We start from the raw sequence: 19,125 nt of genomic DNA on the forward strand, positions 1-19,125 counted from the left end.
AGGGAACTGAGGCAGAAAGAGGGAAAGTGACCTCCTGCCCATCACACGGCCAAAAAGAGAAAAAACCACACTGGGACCCCGGCAGGCAGTCTGGCTACAGAGCTTGTTCCTGTAGTCCTGGCCCTGGGCTAGGGCTCACATACGTGAGCTGAGATCTGGAAACCAGCAGCATCTAGTTGATGTTTGAAAACAAGAGATGGGCCGGGCGCGGTGGCTCACGCCTGTAATCCCAGCACTTTGGGAGGCCGAGGCGGGTGGATCACGAGGTCAGGAGATCGAGACCATCCTGGCTAACACGGTGAAACCCCGTCTCTACTAAAAATACAAAAAATTAGCCGGGCGTGGTAGCAGGCGCCTGTAGTCCCAGCTACTCGGGAGGCTGAGGCAGGAGAATGCCGTGAACCCGGGAGGCGGAGCTTGCAGTGAGCCGAGATCGCGCCACTGCACTCCAGCCTGGGCAACAGAGCGAGACTCCGTCTCAAAAAAAAAAAAAAAAAAGAAAAGAAAAGAAAACAAGAGATGGATGAAGTCACCCGAAGAGCAGTGATCACCAGCACTTACGGGGCAAGCAGAAGAGACAACCCAGTATTATGTCCCCAGTAACTGACACACTGCAGGTACTCAATAAGTATTTATTGAATTAATGTAAGAAGGAACAACCAGAACAGTATAATAGTAGGCAAACCAGGTGAACCACTGTTTCAAAACTAAGGGAGAAAAAAGTGCAAAAGAGGGGAGTGGGAGAAACGCGGTGGCTCATGCCTGTATCCTAGCACTTTAGGAGGCCTAGAGGCCTAGTGGGGAGGACGGCTTGAGCCCAGGAGTTTGGGACCAGCTTGGGCAACACAGTGAGACCCTGTCTCTATAGAAAAATTTTAAAACAACCAGGTGTGGTGGTGCTCACCTGTAGTCCCAGCTACTTGGGAGGCTGATGCAGGAGGATCATCTGAGCCTGGGAGTTTGAGGCTGCAGTGAGCCATGATCCCACCACTGCACACTGCACTCTAGCCTGGGCAACAGAGTGAGACTGTCTCAAAAAAAAAAAAAAAAAAAACCAAAAGAGGGGGGTGGTCAACATACCATATGCTGAAGAGAGGTCAATCTCAAGTCTGAAAAGTGACTCTGGATTTGGGAAGAAGTCATTGGTGATGATGAGTTTCTTGGGGGTGTACTGGTAGATTTTTAACAACCAACTCTCCAAAAACAAATGTATCCATGTATATACATCTGCGCCGTGCACTCCTGCCTTGGCGACAGACCAAGACCCTACCTCAAGGAAAAAGAAATACAGTTCCTATTGAATACCATCCTGAGGGCAACCACCATGTGCACAAGACTGCAGATATTTACTGATGTGCAATGTTTCCTGAGAAGTGAGGATTAAAGTTATCAAACGACAAAAAACAAAGAGCCCATTTGTATTATTTCACTGCCTAAATTCCAGAAAGCAACAAAAACCAAATCACAATTTTCAAGAACAAACAAATTTAGCAAGACTGCAAAATAGACAAACAGCAATAGCAAGACTGCAAAATAGACAAACAGCAAGGTTATCCCAGTCAGAACTTCATAGCTATGTTTGTGGATATCTGCTAATCAGCATAACACAAATGTAAGTGATCGTCAGAAAGAATCAGACAGGAGCAATCAGGGTGTTGCAAGTCCTGATTACGCAGAGACGTTAATCACGTTTCATGCATCTCCAATCATCATGTTCTAATCTGCCCTCCGGAGGAGGAACAGGTAAGGATTATCCCACCTGACGATACAGACAAACAGCCGACATTCTGCACTCAGTGAAAAAGATTCCGTTACAAGCTAGGGTGAGTTCATAACGCGCTGGTATGAGCAATCCTATTATTTAGCGTCCTTCCAGTTGTTTTGCCATATTAGCTCGCACATTTTTTTAAATTTTTTTTTCATTCGGCTGCCGAAAAGGAATAAATTACTTCTTCCCAGAATGCTCCGATCAGTTACGTGCCGGACGTTCTAACTGTACGCACTTTCTATTTACATATCTCCGCCCACTCCCTTCCGCCAGGCACCTACCGTAGTAACCAAAATAGAAGCGATACCAAGTATCTTACGGTCTGCAGGACTAGAAAACAGCGTTGTTTTTTTTTTATTCAGTAGTTCAGCCATCTCAATTGTCCCCTAAAACTGTATATAAGTCTTAATGTTACTACAAAACATATTTTATTACAAAGCACTAAATACAATGCGGATAATCCCAGACTCAAGACGTAATTATTCCAACACATATCCTCCAGCAGAAGCAGTTTCCGAGGGGAAAACCGAAGCCTATGCCTTCCTTCTTCCAGGAATACGAAGCGGCCCTTGCCCCTGTAGGCTTCGTCCTTAGGTTCCCGTCATGAAGGTAATCAGAAGGGTTTCTTTTTCAGCCCAAAGACGGTGACGAATAAAGCCATTTCAGTGACAGCTGGAAGGGCACTACCAAGGCAAGTGGTAGATTCAGAAACCCTTTCAGTATAAATACCCAAATCTCCAAACCAGAGACCCCACCTCTGAAAGTGTAGGGCAGGTGGCATGGGGGGTAGGGGATGAAACTTTAAAAGCCTACAGGATGTTGAGTGGATCTGGTATCTCACACATGGAGGAAAGGGCTGGGTAGGGGAAAAACCTTCAGGTTTAGGGCCAACCTTCCTCCCTCATCCCCAAATATTGGATGCTACCACACCTGCAGAAGACAAAAATGTACCAATACGTAGTGCACTCCCAACGCTCGAATATGAAGAAGGACAGGGCCACGGATGCACTACAGTGAGCCCCAATGGCTTGGGAAGGCACGAGATTAAGGAAAGTCTTTGGATCGACAGACAGTGATGGGTCAGAAAAGGCCAGTGGTGGGGCTGGCATCTGCATTCAGGTTCATCCCTTGCTCCCTCACCATGTTTCAAGGGCTAGAGTCAGCAGCTCTGACTTCTGAATTTTAGGACAGTCATGTGAGGAGAGACCAGAAGTGACTGCACAGATCGGACCTCAGGCTACCCTACCCCTTATCTGTGGGCCAGCCTGGATCCTTCAGATGAGAGGTAAGAGTAGGCTCTCCTTCTGCTATGCCACAAAGGAGTGCTGACAGCGACTTAATATGCGCTGGAATCAGCCTCCAGTGTCCTGGTCCTCCTGGTCCACAATTCTCTGACCCATGTGCCTCATCTCCTTTGCCTCTTCTGAGTTCCCAGTGCTCGCTTCCGTTGCCTCTTCTGAGTTCCCATTGTGCTTTATATCTTTTGTTTGTTTTTTGACAGAGTCTTGCTCTGTTGCCCTGGCTGGAGTGCAGTGGCACGATCTCAGCTCACTGCAACCTCTGCCTCCCGGGTTCAAGCAATTCTCCTTCCTCAGTCTCCTGAGTAGCTGGGATTACAGGAGTGCGCCGCCACGCCCGACTAATTTTTGTATTTTTAGTAGAGACGGGGGTTTCACCATGTTGGTCAGGCCGGTCTCGAACTCCTGACCTCAGGTGGTCCACCTGCCTCGGCCTCCCAAAGTGCTGGGATTACATGCGTGAGCCATCGCGCCCTGCCTGTGCTTTCTATCTTCACACACTTCTATAGCACAGTGCTTATCACACTGAATTACAGATTTGTATCTACCTCCTCCTCATTGTAAAAAGAAACGGTGGGGTTTTTATTATTCCTATTATTTTTGTAGACTTGGGTTCTCACTATGTTGCCTCCTGCCTGCGCCTCCCACAGTGCTGGGATTACAGACGTGAGCCAACATGCCTGGCCAAAAACTGTATTTTACTCTCATTTTGGGATTTTAAGTGCCTAGTAAACAGCAGGATTTAGCACATCGTTGAAGATCTTTGAACTGGAAGGATTGGCTACAGCAGACACTATTGTGTCAGGTGGCTGAAGGGAGTCCTGATAGAAGTGGGTCGTGTGGGAAAGGTGGGCAGGCAGAAAGGATACAGATGAGGCTCTGGGTGCTGTTGAACATGGAGACTCCTGAGAGGAAACCGGCCAGCTCCACTGCAAAGAGGCCCAGGGTGACAGAGAGCGCGGCCACCAGCCTGCAGAGAGGAAGTGGACTGGCCCAGGCCTTTGGACTTATTCTAAGACCCCTCCACTCCCACCACCTCTTCGTTCTGGCCACCCCGTCCCAAGAGCTCACTGAATGTCCTGCTTGTCATACTCCTCGGGGGTGAACGTGAGAGGCAGGCAGGCCTGTATGTTGCTGTCCTGGGAGCAGGGCACAGGAAGAGAAGTGAAAAAGGGGCAGGCTGCAGGGCAGGCCTGGGGGCGGCGGGAAACAAGAAAACCCAAGAGGGTAAGACACTGGGAGGGGGCAGGGTAGGACTAGGACCACTCAGAGATGGGAATGGGGACGGATTGAGTGCAGCCGTGGGTCTTACCCGGGACCAGAATAAGGTGATGACGACCACCAGATGCGCCAGGAGCGTCAGGAAGCGAGAGGGCACAAGCCCTGAGACCCGGCCCATGGCCCTCGGGGACAAGGGCGGCGGTCTCTGAGGCTGGAAGTTCAGAGACAGCGACTCCTGAAGTCTCCCCGCAAGCCGACAAATCTAGACGAACGCCTCCTTCCCGCCCGCTCAGGCACCGCCCAGTTGCCTTGGTAACCGTGTACGCGGGCTCGGCGCCGCGTTCTCGGAAATCCTCGCGAGCAGTACATTCTCCGGCTGCTGCGGGTCTCTCAGGGCCAGCGAAGGTCAGGGGTACCCGAAGGCGCTTCTAACCTAACGGCTGGGTACCCGCGCGCAGCCAGGCCCTTTGTTCCTCAGAGGGTGCGAGGTGGCACAGCCCCGCAGCGCCCGATCTGCCCACGCAGGGCGGATGAACGGAAACCCACCCTGGCCTAGCTTGGGGACACCAATGCTTCTGCTGTTGCCCACGCCGGGAGCGGCCCCCAGCCCCAGCTACGCTGCCCAGTTGTGGATCACTTGAGACCGCTGCCACCACCACGCCGGGCTGAGTTCCCCGCCATGCCGAAGACTCAGACCCGCTCCCCTTCCCCTCCTCTGCATGCCTTTAGCTTCCCACCAAGCTGGGCCTGAGAAACAAGGGACCCGAACCTGGAGAGGCCGGTGTTCCTGGACTGCTCTGCAGTCACAGATTGTCACGGAGCCCCTGGTTGTCTGAGGACCCCAGGCCTGAACCTTCCTTGAGGAAGACTGATTTCTTTCAGACTACTTTGCTCAGTTTGGTGAGGGATTTGCAGAGTGCAAAAAATGGCCAGCGTCCTTAAACTAGCATGGGGATAAGAGCAGAGCAAGGTGGCTGGAAAGAGTGGGAGTGGACGAAGGGAATGGGACAGTCCCTGCGTCTCTGGGAGGCTTGGAGCCGGCTGGAAGGGAAACTCAACTCAGATTTCTTTGTCCCTTGGAGGTGCTGGGCCTCCGACATTGCCCAGCTACAGTCCAAGAAGCTCTTATCATCGGCGACCTCATGACCTTTGGGCCTCAGCGCAGGTCCCTGCAGATCTGAAAGTTCTTTAATTGCTGAGTCAAGTCCCATCCTCAAGGAACCTCCCGGCCCATCTCCCAGGAGAACAATCTCTTCCTACTCCCCACTCCCCATCTCAGTGCTTTTAGCCAGCCTAAACTACAAGCCCAAGAGGCATTTCTCATTCCTTCAACAAATATTTGTATATGTTTATTGATTACCTAGTAAGGGTATTCTAGTCAGGGAGATCAACAACAGACATGCAAACAAATAAATCCGTAAGATAATAGGCGCTACAAACAGGGAAAAGCGGGCTGTGCACTGTGGCTCACACCTGTAATCCCAGCGCTTTAGGAGGCCTAGGAGGGCGGATCACCTGAGGTCAGGAGCTCGAGACCAGACTGACCAACATGCTGAAACCCTGTCTCCACTAAAAATACAAAATTAGCCGGGCGTGGTGGCGCGTGCCTGTAATCCCAGCTATTCGGGAGGCTGAGGCATGGGAATCGCTTGAACCCAGGAGGTGGAGGTTGCAGTGAGCCGAGATCGCGCCATTGCACTCCAGCCTCTGCAACAAGAGCGCAACTCCGTCTCCAAAAAAAAAAGAAACGCTAGAATTATAATTCTATAAAAATAGGGCATTTATAATTCTATTAAAATAGAGCATTTATTTTGTTTTATTTTATTTATTTACTTTTTCTGAGACGGAGTCTCGCTCTGTCTCCCAGGCTGGAGTGCAGTGGCGCAATTTCGGCTCACTGCAAGCTCGGCCTCCCGGGTTCACGCCATTCTCCCGTCTCAGCCTCCTGAGTAGCTGGGACTACAGGCGCTCGCCACCATGCCCGGCTAATTTTTTGTGTTTTTAGGAGAGACGGAGTTTCACTGTGTTAGCCAGGATGGTCTCGATCTCCTGCCCTCGTGATCCGCCAGCCTCGGCCTTGCAAAGTGCTGGGATTACAGGCATGAGCCACCGCGCCCAGCCGGACATTTAACCTTAAACTTTATTTTAGAAACTTTGGCCAAAAATTGGCCGGGAGCGGTGGCTCAGGCATGTAATCCCAGCACTTTGGGAGACCGAGGCAGGGAGATCACCTGAGGTCAGGAGTTTCAGACCGGCCTGGCCAACATGGTGAAACCTCATCTCTACTGAAAAAAAAAAAAAAAAAAAAGTTAAAAAGTTAGCCAGGTGTGGTGGCGCCCGCCTCTAATCCCAGCTATTCCAGAGGCTGAGGGAGGAGAAGTGCTTGAACCCGGGAGGCAGAGGTTGCAGTGATCCAAGATCGTGCCACTGCACTCCCGCCTGGGAAACAGACCAAGACTTCGTCTCAAAAAAAAAGAAAAGAAATAAAAAGAAAATGCACTCTGGGACCAGAAGCAAAAGCCCATGCCTGTAATCCCAGCACTTTGGGAGGCCAAGGCGAAGTATTCCTTGAACCCAAGACTTTGAAGCCAGTCTGAGCAACATAGTGAGACACCTCTCTCTGTTAAAACAATAATAAAGGCCGGGAATGGTGGCTTACGCTTGTAATCCCAGAACTTTGGGAGGCCGAAGCGGGCGGATCCCCTGAGGTCAGGAGTTTGAGACCAGCCTGACAAACATGATGAAACCCCGTCTCTATTTAAAAATACAAAAAAAAAAAAAAAAAAAAAAATTAGCCGGGCATGGTGGCACACACCTGTATTCCCAGCTACTCGGGAGGCTGGGGCAGGAGAATCGCTTGAACCCGGGAGGCGGATGTTACAATGAGCCGAGATTGCGCCACTGCACTCCAGCCTGGACAACAGAGCAAGACTCCAACTCAAAAAAAAAAAAAAAAAAAATATATATATATATATATATATATACACACACACACACATATATACATACATAGATATCTTTTTAATAAAGTTTTAGGCCGGGCGCGGTGGCTCACGCCTGTAATCCCAGCACTTTGGGAAGCCGAGGCGGGTGGATCATCTGAGGTCAGGAGTTCAAGGCCAGCCTGGCCAACATGGAGAAACCCCGTCTCTACTAAAAATACAAAAATTAGCCAGGCATCGTGGCACGCTCCTGTAGTCCCAGCTACTCGGGAGGCTGAGGCAGGAGAATCTCTTGAACCCACGAGGTGGAGATTGCAGTGAGCTGAGATCACACCACTGCACTCCACTCTGGGTGACAGAATGAGATTCCGTCTTAAAAAAAAAGTTTTAAACAATAAACATTAATGTTTTCGGAGTCTTATATTGTATTATTAAGACAAGAAATTGGAAAAAAAATGGAATGATTTATAGGATTGAGGGTCCCTAAAATGTTGAACTCCTATATATTGAAACTATGTAATGACATTTTCATATAAACCATCTCTTTAAAAGACAGCACAGCCTTTTCTTCATATTGGAGACAATGTAATCACCAAAACTTGCTTTTATCCCCATGAAATAAAAGCTTGTGATTTTCTAAACTTTACTGAGGAGTTACTATTATTATTATTATTATTTTTTTAAAGGAGGTTCAACAAAGTCTCTCTTTGTTTTTTTTAGGCAGGGTCTTGCTCTGTCACTCAGGATGGAGTGCAGGGGTATGATCATGACTACAGTGACCCTCGACCTCCCTGGCTCAGGTGATCCTGCTGTCTCAGCCTCCGGAATAGCTGGGACTACAGACGCACGCCACCATGCCCAGCTAATTTTTGTATTTTTAATAGAGACCGCGTTTCACCGTGTTGGCCAGGATGGTCTCCATCTCTTGACCTCGTGATCTGCCCGCCTCAGTCTCCCGGCACCCAAAGTGTTGGGATTACAGGCGTGAGCCACCGTACCCGGCACCCCCCTCCCTTTTTTTTTTTTTTTTTTTTTTTTGAGACAGAGTTTTCACCTTTGTCGCCCAGGCTGGAGTGCAATGGCATAATCTCGGCTCACTGCAACTGCCGCCTTGTGGGTTGGGGTGATGCTCCTGCCTCAGCCTCCCTAGTAGCTGAGATTACAGGTACCCGCGACCATGCCCAGCTAATTTTTGTATTTTTAGTAGAGACGGGGTTTCACCATGTTGGCCCGGCTGTTCTCGAACTTCTGACTCCTGACTTCAGGTGATCCACCCGCCTCGGCCTCCCAAAGCGCTGGGATTACAGGCGTGAGCCGCCACGCCCGGCCAGTTCTTTTCTTAACTGTTGGACCCCTTCAAAGTTCTGAAGATAGTTTCAAACCTCCCTGCTCTCAGGATGGACAAGGAAACCCATTAAGTTTTCTCCTTTGAAATGACCCCCATTGCATTTGATTCCTAAAATGAGTGATAGTAATGACACCTAATTTACAATGAGAGATGAGCTTCCTGTATTCTCCAATGCAGAAATTACAGCATAGCAAGCATTCAAACGTTCTTAGGAGACAAGATAAAAAGACTGAAGGTTCAGCCTGGGCGACATGGCAAAACCCCGTCTCTACAAAACAATACAAAAAATTAGCCAAACATAGTGGTGCACACCTGTAGTTCCAGCTGCTTGGGAGGCTGAGGTGGGAGGTTCACCTGCACCCAGGAAGTGGAGGCTGCAGTGAGCCATGATCACACCACTGCACTGCAGCCTGAGTGCCAGGAGTGAGACCTGTCTCAAAAAAAAAAAAAAAAAAAAAAAAAGACTGACGAACTCTCCATGCTTTTCTTCCCTCTGTCTGCAACTTACATGCATTTTCGACCTAGACCTTCAGAGGTGAGCTCCCCCAGTGAGAGATTCATCAAATATAACTGTTCACAGATGAAAGAAGTTGTCATAGGCCAAAAGTGAGGAAAATCCAGGACCTGCTTTTGCAAGGTTTTCCAAGGTCTCTGAATAGAAGGAAGTGAAAGAGTCAGCTACATGAACATCTAGGGAAAGAGCATTCCAGACAGAGGACATAGCAAGTGCAAAGATGGTGAGAACAAGCCAAGTGTGTTTGTTGAACAGTAAGGAAGGCAGCATTTCAGAAACCTAGTGATGGAAGGGGAAGAAAAGTTCAGTGTGAGGTTCGTTAGGTAAACAGGGGCCAGATGAAGCCAGGCCTTGCAGCTACAGGGAGGGACATGGTCAGGTTGGTGTTCTAGATGATGACTCTAGTTGCAACATGGATAATGGATTTTAAGCAAATTTTATTTTTATTTATATTCTTCTTCCATTTTTTTTCTTTCTTTTAAGCAGATTTTAAACAGAAGGCTAATAATTATCCAGAAGAGACAGGATGAGGCTTGGACAAAGGAGGTGGAGGGTATCAAAAGATATTTAGAAGATAAAGGAAGTCTGGACTTGGTGCTGTGGGTGAGTGGGAAAAAGGGAGGGTCAGGATGGCTGTTAGATTATGGGGGCTCTGACAGCTGGAGGTCTGGGGCATTCTGCTTATAATAGGCCTTCTGGGCCAGGCGCAGTGGCTCACGCCTGTAATCCCAGCACTTTGGGAGACCGAGGCAGGCAGATCATGAGGTCAAGAGATTGAGACCATCCTGGCCAAAATGGTGAAACCCCATCTCTACTAAAAATACAAAAATTACCCAGGCATGGTGGTGTGCACCTGTAGTCCCAGCTACTTGGGAGGCTGAGCCAGGAGAATCGCTTGAACCTGGGAGGCGGAGGTTGCAGTGAGCCGAGATCGAGCCACTGCACTCCAACCTGGCGACAGAGCGAGACTCCGTCTCAAAAAAAAAAAAAAAAAAAATAGGCCTTCTGCATAGGGGACTTACTATATAAGTAACAACGGGGTAGTCACATTTCATGTCCTGAACTGATAAACAGTGAGTAGCCTTTCCTGTCATTTTCCATGACCTTGGTTCACAGAAGCCTGCCCTATAGAGACGCTATTTCTGCCTGCTCACAAAACCGATATTTAGAGCCAGCCAGTGGCCATAGGAGGTACTGCTGGTGATGAGGTGTCCCCCCAAGTGACTACTCACTCCAGGACTGGGACCCACAAGTACTAAGATTTGAACTCTTAATAAAAGGAGTTAAAAATCGTTTTTTTATCATGGACAAATTCAAACATGACAAAATAAAGAAAATAGCCGGGTGCGGTGGCTCATGCCTGTAATCCCAGCACTTTGGGAGGCCGAGGTGGGCAGATCACGAGGTCAGGAGTTCGAGACCCTGGCCAACATGGTGAAACCCAGTCACTACTAAAAATACAAATATTAGCTGCATGGTGGCAGGTGCCTGTAATCCCAGCTAATCGGGAGGCTGAGGCAGCAGAATCATTTGAACCTGAGAGGTGGAGGTTGCAGTGAGCTGAGATCGTGCCATTGCACTGCAACCTGGGTGACAGGGCAAGACTCCTTCAAAAAGAGGGGAGGGGAGGGGAGGGGGAAAGGTGAGGGAGTGGGGAGAGGGAAGGATGGGGGAGCCGAGGGGAGGGGAGATAATGAACACTTCTATTCTGCTTCAACAATTATCAACACATGGCCAACTTTGTTTCAGGTATACCCTCCCTCATGGCACACACCAGGTTATTTTGAAGCAAATCCTAGACGTCATCAAACAGTTCAAATTGCCCAAGTGTCTCCTACACACTTCTTTTTTCTTTTACAGTTTGTTTGAATCTGGGTCCAAATAAAGTCCACACATTGCACCTGGTTGTCATGTCTCGCTCATCTTGGGTCCTGCCTCCTCTCTACCCCCTCACCTCCTTTCTCCTTCTTTTCTTTTCTTGCAATTTATCAGTTGAAGGCATTGAGCCATTTCTGGGCCTTATTCTTGTGATGTGATTTAACATGTTCCTCCATGCCCTGCATGTCCTGTAAACTGGTTCTTAGATCCAGTGGTTGGTTAGTCTCACGTTCAGTTTTCTGGTAAAAACACATCATGAGTGACGGTTTGTTCTCCTGATTCCATTGCATCAGGACGCCTGCTTTTCCCTGTTTTTCTAGTGTTTAGGCTGAGCATTGGGTTCAGGTGTAGTCAGACTAGGCAACAATTATAAAATTCCCCGTCCGTTTTTCACCTAATGGTTTAGTTGATCATCACTGCCTAGCTCTATTATTTCATTAGGAGTTGCAAAATTGGGATGTCCTAATTCTGTCATTCTGCAGTAAGAACTTGCCATCATCAATTTGTTTACCATGAGATACAGGTCATACAGGAAAGGCAGGATAAATGTGTGGGTTTTTTCTTATGATTTACCAGTTTTCAGAAAAATGAGTTGGTTCTCTAGCATCTTGAAAAAGTAATTAGTTGTTTTTAATATCATTATGAACTTGTACATTTTAACATCTTTTGTGTATTTCAATCCATTGCAGTTATTCTTTTTGATGTTCAAATTGTCCCAATTTTGGTCGGTGGGAGCTTCTTCTGGTTGGTGCCTAAGCTTGCTTTCTTTCTTTTTTTTTGAGACGGAGTTTCGCTCTTGTTGCCCAGGCTGGAGTGCAATGGCGCGATCTCGGCTCACCGCAACCTCCGCCTCCCGAGTTCAAGAGATTCTCCTGCCTCAGCCTCCCGAGTAGCTGGAATTACAGGCATGCGCCACCACACCCGGCTAATTTTGTATGTTTAGTAGAAACAGGGTTTCTACATGTTGGTCAGGCTGGTCTAGAACTCCCGACGTCAGGTGATCCACCCGCCTCGGCCTCCCAAAGTGCTGGGATTACAGGCGTGAGCCACCATGCCCGGCTCCGTCTCCTCCTCCTCCTCCTCTTCTTCCAGACAGAGCCAGACTCCATCTCAAAAAAAAAAAAAAAAAAAAGAAAAAGACGATTATCTGACTATTCGGGTGGCAGGGAGATTAGAGAGGAGCCTGCTACAACAATCCAGCAAGAGAGGCTGAGGGGTTGTCAGTGGGATGGGGAAGGATGGTTGACAGGGGGATTATTGAGGAAATGGAATTGACAGGATGTGGTGACTGGAAGTAAGACGGTAGGGGGAGGGAAGAATCAAGGATGCATCCCCCAGCCTGGGCCTGGCCACTCTCTGGGAGTGCAGAAAGACTGGAAGGAAGTATGGCAGGGTCAAGTGAAGGTATCAGCAGGCACTACACATCTGAGTCCAGAGGTGGGAGCGAGATTCAGGAGCCCTTAGCAAGCAGGAAATAGCTGAATCCGTAGAACATGTGTAGCATGAGGAGAGAAAACCTCACCCGAGGAAAACCAGGATTTACAGGGAGAACAGAAAAAGAGATTGGAGCTGGGCGCGGTGGCTCACGCCTGTAATCCCAGCCCTTTGGGAGCTCGAGGCGGGTGGATCATCTGAGGTCAGCAATTCGAGACCAGCCTCTCCAACATGGTGAATCCCGGTCTCTACTTTAAAAAAAAAAAATTAAATTAACCGGCACCACGCCTGTAATCCCAGCTACTCGGGAGGTTGAGGAAGGAAAATCGCTTGAACCCGGGAGGCAGAGGTTGCGGCGAGCGAGAACGCGCCACACAGCACTCCAGCCTGGGCGACAGAGTGAGACTCCGTTTCAAAAAAATTTATAAAAGAAAAAAGAAAAAGAGACTGGAGCGGGGAGCCAGTTAGGAAGGGCCAGCAGACTAGTGTCAAGACAACCATGGGAAATGAGGCTCATGGAGAAGATGTTGCCTGGAGTCGGTTAAGGCCAGGCCTGAGAAAGCCTGTTGGCTTTGACATCTCTGTGGTCCCTGATAACTTTCGAGAGAGCCACTGTGTAGAAATTTGGCTTGGATGGAAAGGAATGAGATACAGGCAGGACCTCTTGTGCCATCTCGGCCTATTGAACTCCTTTCATTCTTCTAGAAACAGCCGGGCGCGGTGGTTCACGCCTGTAATCCCAGCACTTTGCGGGGCCGAGGAGGGCGGATCACGAGATCAGGAGTTGAAGACCAGCCTGGCCAACATGGTGAAACCCTGTCACCACCAAAAATACAAAAATTATAGCTGGGCGCGGTGGTGGGCGCTGTAATCCCAGCTACTCGGGAGGCTGAGGCAGACTTGCTTGAATCCGGGAGGCGGAGGTTGCAGTGAGCCAAGGTCGCGCCGCCGCACTCCAGCCTGGACGACAGAGTGAGACTCCGTCTCAAAAAAACAAAACAAAACAAAACAAAACAAAAACAGAAAAACAACAACAAAAAACTTATGTTGGCCGGGCATGGTGGCTCACGCCTGTAATCCCAGCACTTTGGGAGGCCGAGGCGGGCGGATCACCTGACGTCGGGAGTTCGAGACCAGCCTGACCAACATGTAGAAACCCTGTTTCTACTAAACATACAAAATTAGCCGGGCATGGTGGCGCATGCCTGTAATCCCAGCTACTCGGGAGGCTGAGGCAGGAGAATCTCTTGAACTCGGGAGGCGGAGGTTGCGGTGAGCCGAGATCGCGCCATTGCACTCCAGCCTGGGCAACAAGAGCGAAACTCCGTCTCAAAAAAAAAAAAAAAAAAAAAAAAAAAAAAGAAATACTGATGTTTGTGGTGGTTAAAATTAGAACAGAGATTGCCTCTGGCAAGGGAGGAGTGGGGATCCGTAGAGAAGGGACAGACATGCAAGAACCTTGAGAGAGGGAAATGTCCTATATGCTTTTAAAGAGTTGTGATTTGCGCAGGTGTATGTATTTGTCAAAACTCATCAAAATATAGACAAAATTTATCTGCCCTCCAACAGTTGAAATACCGATATTTTTCAAAAGTTTTACATACCGATCTCAGAGCTCTTCCCTGGGCCGTTTAAATCAGAATCTCCGAACCCGGGGGTTGTGCGTGGGTACATTCGAAGTCTCCGCAGGCAATTACAAAAGTGCAACCGGGGAGGAGACCTGCTGCTGGGGGAGCAAATCTCTTACCACTTCAGGTGCCCTAGGCTCTGGCACTGCTCTGTCACGTTCCGTCTGGTTCCCATCCTTCCATCCGTTTCTAGGCAGGTCCGTCCCCACTGGGCTGTAAGCTTTGGGATCCCCTGGCGATCAGCTCGGGACCCTCTATCTGGGCGTTGGCAGGACGCCGGGGGCCGGGAGGGACAGACCGCTAAGCCTGGATCCCATAGTCACTGCCCTGGGGTGCCACTCGCCCGGCTCGTCCTACAGGGCTGGCTCGGCGAGCGCAGATACGACCCCGCAGCTGTTCAGAGGGGCAGAAATGCCCTAGGTGCCCATCCATGCCTCGATTCATGACCCTGGCCTCCAGGGCGCACAGTGGTCATGGGGAGACCTGAGCTGCCGAGTGGCCGGCCGACCTCGTGGCGCAACGGTAGCGCGTCTGACTCCAGATCAGAAGGTTGCGTGTTCAAATCACGTCGGGGTCAGCGGCTATTTTTCTTCGGTTTTTATTAACCCCCTTTATTTTAAACTACGGTCGAGCTTCAGCGTTCAGGTCATTGAAGAAGCAATATCTCCTTGGGGCCTGAAGGAGAGGGGTTTCTGGAAGTTCCAAGGCCGCCCCGTCTGGACAGCCCAACCATCGCGCGGGGATTTTTGCGATGGATCCGGGTACCGTAATTCTGGGCGGATAACGCGGGTCCTAAGACAGGAGCAGTTCTAGACCTCTCAGCAGAGGGACGAGGGTCGGGCCATCACGCATGGAAGAAGTCGGTCTCTGATCTACGAGTTCTCTTTCCAGTGCCGAGCGGATTCCTTCCAAATGTGCAGCCTTCACGACGTAGGCGAGCCCCACCTGCAGGAAGTTCAGGTTCCAGAGAAGTGAGATGCGGAGGGCAGTCTGAACAGCGAGGGCTGTCTGCAGACGAGGTGGCCGAGTGGTTAAGGCGATGGACTGCTAATCCATTGTGCTCTGCACGCGTGGGTTCGAATCCCATCCTCGTCGGCTAAGGAAGTCCTGTGCTCAGTTTTGTAGCATCAAAACTAGGATTTCTCTTGTTACCCCCAGTCACTCCATTCAGTTTTCGTGTCTTTCCCAGCTGCATCCATCCTTTCCTCATTTTCGTATGCAGCCGACTTTTTGTGACATCTTTGTATTCATTCTCTGCAATTCAGCTGACCTGGCCAAGGAAACAAGATCCTAAGCGTCTTTCCGGCGGCGCCGTGGCTTAGTTGGTTAAAGCGCCTGTCTAGTAAACAGGAGATCCTGGGTTCGAATCCCAGCGGTGCCTCCGTGTTTCCCCCACGCTTTTGCCAACATTAAACATTGTGAGGACAGTTGCAGAAACTCATAACTTCCATCCTACATGGTTTACTCACGTACCCATCTATCCTCTCCCGGTGCATCTGCCACACGCTGTTGGGTTTTTGCTCTTCGTGCACATGGTACTTGCGCCTCGACCTGCAGTTACACCAGTCGCATCATCTGTACTTGCCAGTACTGTCTGTTACTCGTCTAGGTGCTCAGTTAGTCAGTGTTTGTGTTCTGTTTTCATTTCTCATAAAGCAGTCCCACAACTGAAGGTTTTTCCCGAGAGAACTGAACAGTATTGTAACTAAATAGATTTATTTCAAGCTTTTCGTAGCAACTGGCCGGTTAGCTCAGTTGGTTAGAGCGTGGTGCTAATAACGCCAAGGTCGCGGGTTCGATCCCCGTACGGGCCAGGATTGAAACTTTTCGAAAGTACGATTACTGCACTCCGTTTTAGAGCCAAGTAACGTCTCTGGGGAAAAACAGCGCCACATTTCCAATCCCAGAACAGGGAGCGTATTGGAGCGCATTCTAAAGTGGGCGTGTCTTGAGAGGAAGGGATTGAGAGAAACCGGGGTTGTTTCGTGATCTTTGCTTCTACATCTTATGGCCACAATATATGGCTCCTGAACTTACTGTGTGAACTGTAAACAAAAGGCTTTGGGACAAATTTGTCTCAAACCACGTGGCACTGATCTGCAGAGTGTGGGAAATGGTCAGGAATAGAGCTGACAAGTGTTCCCAGTCTTCCCCCAGAGGTAAGATGTCCGTCCAATCCACCCAGCCCCTGCCTATTCATGAGGACCTGAGAAGACAATTTCTTCCCCTTCTCTTCTAGAGCATCTTTTTTACGTTTCTGTGGTTACCGGATCTCTGGGCCCCTGTGAGTGATTATCTGTGTCCTCACATTTCCCCTCAGACCAGATGCTTAAGAGCAAGAACCATATCTTTCCCCACGGAGCCTGAGACATCTCCACCCCCACCCCACTCCCAGCACCAGCCCCAAGGGAGCTGCGTGAACAACACCGACCCTCATTCCCATTCCTTTGGCTTATTAATCACTGCAACCCCACACAGACTCAGCCTCAGCCTTCGCAGCAGCAGCACTTTAATTCCACAAAAACTCAGAAAGCCAAAACTGATTAGAACACTCCACAACAGGTGAGCTTCAAAACCAGCAACATTCTACCTGAACCCTGAGAGCAGTGAGACGCCTCCCACCTCACCCCCTCCGCCGTGCAACCCATTCCTCCTAGCTGCACGCCGGTTCTGGCTGGGGAAGTGGTATGGTAGAGGGCCAGAGGGCAGAAGCAGAAGGCTCTCCATCAGCAGGGGTGCATCTTTGCCTGCGGGGTGTTTGGCCAAGGACGGCACAAGCTCCCACAGCCCCTGGCACCTGAGATGTGGCCACTGGAGTCAGGATAGCCACAGTGGGGGCTGGGGCTTCCTCTGTCCCTTTCTCCTGATTACATGTGGGAGTCACGTCCTCACCTTCAAGCAGACCTAAAGCCCCGTGTTCCCAGGGCTGGTGCTCTAGCTAGGGAGGAGAGTTGGGAAGAACAGGGTAGCTACAGATGGCCAACTGAATACAAGCAGAGCAACATCCCTTCCCACCAGGAGAGCCGTTAGAACTTCCCCACATACACCAGCCTAAGGCCCAGCGAGTGGGCACGGGCCAGCTGAACGCATCTGGAAGAGCCTCCAACACACAGGCCTCCCCTCAGTGGGCACTTCCCACCAGGACTCCCTGAAGAGTCCTTAGGGTCCTGCTGGGCCCTGCCCTGGCCAGGACCGGCCTCTCCTGTCCTCCTGGTCACTTGCACAGGGCCTCCAACACCTCCAGAGTACGTCGGATATCCCGGACTTGGCGCGCCAGCCCCTGAACCGGCTGCAGAGCCCGCTCCAGCTCCTCGCAGCGCGCCAGCAGGGTGTACATGCCCTTGATGCTCATGTCCACGGCTTCACCTAAGGAGTCCACAGCATCGCGGTAGGTCTGGATGCAACCCACGCTCAGCGCCGTCAGCTCCTGCACCGCGCCACCCAGACCGCGAAGCAGACGGTCCACCCGGCCTCCCAGCTCCCGACTCAACCGCTCCAGATCCCGCAGCACCTCGGGGTCGATTGGGGGAATGGCCGGTGTGGGTGTGGGTGCAGGCGCTGGGCAGGGCCGCGCAGGGGCAGAAGGCGGGGGTGGAGGCGCGCCGCTCAGACGGATCTTGAGTTGCAGGTTGTTGGCGACAAAGTGGGTAAGGTCGCCGTGGCGGCTCACTGTGCCTTCGAGCTCCAGGGGACTGGAGATGGTGGCGCGGCGTCCGCCGCCCGCGCCGGACTCGGCACTCCCTGAGGACCCGGCGCCACCGCACGCCTCGCTCAGCCCGTCCAGGCTGCGGCTGTCCTGAAGACGGCTGGAGAACGAGCGGCCGGCTCTGCTGCCCGCGGCCGCCTCCTCGTCGTTGTCTTCCTCCTCCTGCTGCTCAACATCCATCCCGCCGCCTGGTCCCCCTCGACGGCAGTCCCTCCCGGAGGAGGGCTTGCCCTCGGGCGGCGCCGGGTTCTTGTGCCGGGAGGACAGGGAAGGTTCGTGCTCTGCACCCGGCGCCCCCCTGCGGCTCCCGGCCCCAGACAGCGTCCCTTGAGGGCCGGGCTCGTTCTCCAGAGCCTCCCGTTCCGGCCGGTGGACGACGCCGCAGCTTGACGTCTTCGGGGACGTCCTGGGGTGGCGGTTCGCGCCCCCAACGTTCTCGGTCTCTTCCTCCCCGGACACCCGGAGGCCTGCGGGCGGCTCAGAGGACGTTCGGCCCGGCCCGCCGCCAAAGACTAGGGCCTGATGTTCCGCTACAGCCAGAAGGTCCGTCTCGGGCCCGGGCCGCCCCCGAGACGACTCCATACTGCAGGTGGGGGCCGCAACGGAGGAATTGGTTCGCCCCGGCTCCGGAGGCAGTGGCTGCGCCTTTAAGGGGCGTTGGTAGAGGCGAGCCGATTGGCAGCGGCTGACAATGGTAAGGACAGGAAAAGCATTTTGATTGGTCGCGGCGACCAGGAAGTCCCGGAAGAAGAGCTGTTACTGCACAGCGGAACACACGTGAACGCCGGCAGGGTGGAGAGAAGGAGGTGACAGCTGCTCCCGTCGCCCCGCCCTTTCTGAAAGCTGATGGGGCAGATCTTAAAGACCAAGGTCCTCAAATTCCTGAGTCCCGAGGGGTGGGGCTCAGATCCTTTCTGCCTGTAATTGTACCCCCCCCAACAGTGATTGCTTAGCAAAAATACCAAGTGGGGAGCCCACTTGGGGTTCCTAGAGAGGTTCTTAGGATGAAAATGGCATATCCTTCTTGGACCATCAGGGTTGAACCTAGTTGACTAAAAAGAAGGAAACCAGAAGTCCAGCATGAGCATGAATGGTTTGCTCTATCTTTCTTGGTTAAGAGACCTAACCACTGAACTGCTCAGAGCGACCCACTGTGGTCAAGGCAGCGGCCTCTGGGCTTTCCTATGCGTTTGTCACTCTTGTTCTGTGTCTCTTGCCCCTTTCACACTGAGGGGTCTCGCCCCTTGGAGGATGGCGTGTGATTTTGCCACGAGGTAAAATATTCAACAAATGAAATGATCACAAATTTTGATATGTGCTATACAGGAAATAAAGTGTTATGATTGAGAATATAACTGAGCAGGCACTAGTTTAGGTAAGGGGTCAGG

At 51.1% G+C, this 19,125-nt stretch overlaps 2 protein-coding genes, 1 long non-coding RNA gene and 6 other non-coding genes across 14 annotated transcripts, besides 22 other annotated features; 6 read left to right on the plus strand and 3 right to left on the minus strand.

The window, feature by feature from the left end:
- TMEM107 (transmembrane protein 107) lies at positions 636 to 4,559 on the minus strand. 6 transcript variants are annotated; one of them, NM_001351279.2, is made up of 5 exons: positions 4,379 to 4,559; positions 4,138 to 4,205; positions 3,936 to 4,036; positions 2,720 to 2,795; positions 636 to 2,451 (listed from the first exon to the last, which is right to left on the minus strand). In NM_001351279.2, exons 1-5 carry the CDS (start codon positions 4,463 to 4,465, stop codon positions 2,382 to 2,384), a joined length of 402 nt encoding a protein of 133 aa, NP_001338208.1. In that variant the 5' UTR covers positions 4,466 to 4,559; the 3' UTR covers positions 636 to 2,381. The 6 variants fall into 6 exon arrangements, 5 of the variants coding, with proteins under 5 accessions (NP_001338208.1, NP_898888.1, NP_001338207.1 ...); NM_183065.4 differs by having other exon boundaries at positions 2,699 to 2,795; NM_001351278.2 differs by having other exon boundaries at positions 3,936 to 4,054.
- Positions 1,214 to 1,303: an enhancer, noted in NCBI's record as "active region_11671". NCBI's record gives its function as "activates an Ori minimal core promoter by ATAC-STARR-seq in GM12878 lymphoblastoid cells {active_cell/tissue: GM12878}" and the evidence as "EXISTENCE:reporter gene assay evidence [ECO:0000049][PMID:35858748]".
- SNORD118 (small nucleolar RNA, C/D box 118) lies at positions 1,631 to 1,767 on the minus strand. The gene has a single exon (NR_033294.2). It is a non-coding gene; the product is annotated as a small nucleolar RNA, C/D box 118 (small nucleolar RNA).
- Positions 1,784 to 1,963: an enhancer, noted in NCBI's record as "active region_11672". NCBI's record gives its function as "activates an Ori minimal core promoter by ATAC-STARR-seq in GM12878 lymphoblastoid cells {active_cell/tissue: GM12878}" and the evidence as "EXISTENCE:reporter gene assay evidence [ECO:0000049][PMID:35858748]".
- On the plus strand, positions 2,289 to 10,991 carry LOC105371520 (uncharacterized). The gene is made up of 4 exons (NR_188261.1): positions 2,289 to 2,377; positions 2,955 to 3,053; positions 9,578 to 9,694; positions 10,841 to 10,991. It is a non-coding gene; the product is annotated as an uncharacterized LOC105371520 (long non-coding RNA).
- Positions 3,947 to 3,996: an enhancer, noted in NCBI's record as "active region_11673". NCBI's record gives its function as "activates an Ori minimal core promoter by ATAC-STARR-seq in GM12878 lymphoblastoid cells {active_cell/tissue: GM12878}" and the evidence as "EXISTENCE:reporter gene assay evidence [ECO:0000049][PMID:35858748]".
- Positions 4,047 to 4,106: an enhancer, noted in NCBI's record as "active region_11674". NCBI's record gives its function as "activates an Ori minimal core promoter by ATAC-STARR-seq in GM12878 lymphoblastoid cells {active_cell/tissue: GM12878}" and the evidence as "EXISTENCE:reporter gene assay evidence [ECO:0000049][PMID:35858748]".
- Positions 4,098 to 4,709: an enhancer, noted in NCBI's record as "H3K27ac-H3K4me1 hESC enhancer chr17:8079237-8079848 (GRCh37/hg19 assembly coordinates)". NCBI's record gives its function as "activates a minimal SCP1, AML or CMV promoter by ChIP-STARR-seq in naive H9 embryonic stem cells {active_cell/tissue: H9 hESC(naive)}" and the evidence as "EXISTENCE:reporter gene assay evidence [ECO:0000049][PMID:30033119]".
- Positions 4,137 to 4,186: an enhancer, noted in NCBI's record as "active region_11675". NCBI's record gives its function as "activates an Ori minimal core promoter by ATAC-STARR-seq in GM12878 lymphoblastoid cells {active_cell/tissue: GM12878}" and the evidence as "EXISTENCE:reporter gene assay evidence [ECO:0000049][PMID:35858748]".
- Positions 4,347 to 4,436: an enhancer, noted in NCBI's record as "active region_11676". NCBI's record gives its function as "activates an Ori minimal core promoter by ATAC-STARR-seq in GM12878 lymphoblastoid cells {active_cell/tissue: GM12878}" and the evidence as "EXISTENCE:reporter gene assay evidence [ECO:0000049][PMID:35858748]".
- Positions 4,507 to 4,556: an enhancer, noted in NCBI's record as "active region_11677". NCBI's record gives its function as "activates an Ori minimal core promoter by ATAC-STARR-seq in GM12878 lymphoblastoid cells {active_cell/tissue: GM12878}" and the evidence as "EXISTENCE:reporter gene assay evidence [ECO:0000049][PMID:35858748]".
- Positions 4,710 to 5,321: an enhancer, noted in NCBI's record as "H3K27ac hESC enhancer chr17:8079849-8080460 (GRCh37/hg19 assembly coordinates)". NCBI's record gives its function as "activates a minimal SCP1, AML or CMV promoter by ChIP-STARR-seq in naive H9 embryonic stem cells {active_cell/tissue: H9 hESC(naive)}" and the evidence as "EXISTENCE:reporter gene assay evidence [ECO:0000049][PMID:30033119]".
- Positions 4,737 to 4,856: an enhancer, noted in NCBI's record as "active region_11678". NCBI's record gives its function as "activates an Ori minimal core promoter by ATAC-STARR-seq in GM12878 lymphoblastoid cells {active_cell/tissue: GM12878}" and the evidence as "EXISTENCE:reporter gene assay evidence [ECO:0000049][PMID:35858748]".
- Positions 14,518 to 14,567: a silencer, noted in NCBI's record as "silent region_8170". NCBI's record gives its function as "represses an Ori minimal core promoter by ATAC-STARR-seq in GM12878 lymphoblastoid cells {active_cell/tissue: GM12878}" and the evidence as "EXISTENCE:reporter gene assay evidence [ECO:0000049][PMID:35858748]".
- TRW-CCA3-3 (tRNA-Trp (anticodon CCA) 3-3) lies at positions 14,537 to 14,608 on the plus strand. The gene has a single exon. It is a non-coding gene; the product is annotated as a tRNA-Trp (tRNA).
- Positions 14,798 to 14,907: an enhancer, noted in NCBI's record as "active region_11679". NCBI's record gives its function as "activates an Ori minimal core promoter by ATAC-STARR-seq in GM12878 lymphoblastoid cells {active_cell/tissue: GM12878}" and the evidence as "EXISTENCE:reporter gene assay evidence [ECO:0000049][PMID:35858748]".
- Positions 15,045 to 15,126, plus strand: TRS-GCT4-3 (tRNA-Ser (anticodon GCT) 4-3). Its single transcript has one exon. It is a non-coding gene; the product is annotated as a tRNA-Ser (tRNA).
- Positions 15,068 to 15,117: a silencer, noted in NCBI's record as "silent region_8171". NCBI's record gives its function as "represses an Ori minimal core promoter by ATAC-STARR-seq in GM12878 lymphoblastoid cells {active_cell/tissue: GM12878}" and the evidence as "EXISTENCE:reporter gene assay evidence [ECO:0000049][PMID:35858748]".
- On the plus strand, positions 15,124 to 15,183 carry MIR4521 (microRNA 4521). The gene has a single exon (NR_039746.1). It is a non-coding gene; the product is annotated as a microRNA 4521 (primary transcript).
- On the plus strand, positions 15,339 to 15,412 carry TRT-AGT1-1 (tRNA-Thr (anticodon AGT) 1-1). Its single transcript has one exon. It is a non-coding gene; the product is annotated as a tRNA-Thr (tRNA).
- Positions 15,368 to 15,477: a silencer, noted in NCBI's record as "silent region_8172". NCBI's record gives its function as "represses an Ori minimal core promoter by ATAC-STARR-seq in GM12878 lymphoblastoid cells {active_cell/tissue: GM12878}" and the evidence as "EXISTENCE:reporter gene assay evidence [ECO:0000049][PMID:35858748]".
- TRI-AAT5-5 (tRNA-Ile (anticodon AAT) 5-5) lies at positions 15,772 to 15,845 on the plus strand. Its single transcript has one exon. It is a non-coding gene; the product is annotated as a tRNA-Ile (tRNA).
- Positions 16,338 to 16,387: an enhancer, noted in NCBI's record as "active region_11680". NCBI's record gives its function as "activates an Ori minimal core promoter by ATAC-STARR-seq in GM12878 lymphoblastoid cells {active_cell/tissue: GM12878}" and the evidence as "EXISTENCE:reporter gene assay evidence [ECO:0000049][PMID:35858748]".
- BORCS6 (BLOC-1 related complex subunit 6) lies at positions 16,524 to 18,359 on the minus strand. Its single transcript, NM_017622.3, has one exon. The coding sequence runs from the start codon at positions 18,317 to 18,319 to the stop codon at positions 17,246 to 17,248; it is 1,074 nt and encodes a 357-aa protein (NP_060092.2). The 5' UTR covers positions 18,320 to 18,359; the 3' UTR covers positions 16,524 to 17,245.
- Positions 17,526 to 18,172: an enhancer, noted in NCBI's record as "H3K27ac-H3K4me1 hESC enhancer chr17:8092665-8093311 (GRCh37/hg19 assembly coordinates)". NCBI's record gives its function as "activates a minimal SCP1, AML or CMV promoter by ChIP-STARR-seq in primed H9 embryonic stem cells {active_cell/tissue: H9 hESC(primed)}" and the evidence as "EXISTENCE:reporter gene assay evidence [ECO:0000049][PMID:30033119]".
- Positions 17,611 to 17,660: a silencer, noted in NCBI's record as "silent region_8173". NCBI's record gives its function as "represses an Ori minimal core promoter by ATAC-STARR-seq in GM12878 lymphoblastoid cells {active_cell/tissue: GM12878}" and the evidence as "EXISTENCE:reporter gene assay evidence [ECO:0000049][PMID:35858748]".
- Positions 17,731 to 17,790: a silencer, noted in NCBI's record as "silent region_8174". NCBI's record gives its function as "represses an Ori minimal core promoter by ATAC-STARR-seq in GM12878 lymphoblastoid cells {active_cell/tissue: GM12878}" and the evidence as "EXISTENCE:reporter gene assay evidence [ECO:0000049][PMID:35858748]".
- Positions 17,991 to 18,040: a silencer, noted in NCBI's record as "silent region_8175". NCBI's record gives its function as "represses an Ori minimal core promoter by ATAC-STARR-seq in GM12878 lymphoblastoid cells {active_cell/tissue: GM12878}" and the evidence as "EXISTENCE:reporter gene assay evidence [ECO:0000049][PMID:35858748]".
- Positions 18,151 to 18,430: an enhancer, noted in NCBI's record as "active region_11681". NCBI's record gives its function as "activates an Ori minimal core promoter by ATAC-STARR-seq in GM12878 lymphoblastoid cells {active_cell/tissue: GM12878}" and the evidence as "EXISTENCE:reporter gene assay evidence [ECO:0000049][PMID:35858748]".
- Positions 18,151 to 18,818: a biological region, named in NCBI's record as "OCT4-NANOG-H3K27ac-H3K4me1 hESC enhancer GRCh37_chr17:8093312-8093957".
- Positions 18,173 to 18,818: an enhancer, noted in NCBI's record as "OCT4-NANOG-H3K27ac-H3K4me1 hESC enhancer chr17:8093312-8093957 (GRCh37/hg19 assembly coordinates)". NCBI's record gives its function as "activates a minimal SCP1, AML or CMV promoter by ChIP-STARR-seq in primed H9 embryonic stem cells {active_cell/tissue: H9 hESC(primed)}" and the evidence as "EXISTENCE:reporter gene assay evidence [ECO:0000049][PMID:30033119]".

This window comes from Homo sapiens, chromosome 17 (assembly GCF_000001405.40).
Source record: "Homo sapiens chromosome 17, GRCh38.p14 Primary Assembly".
Lineage (NCBI taxonomy): Eukaryota > Metazoa > Chordata > Mammalia > Primates > Hominidae > Homo > Homo sapiens.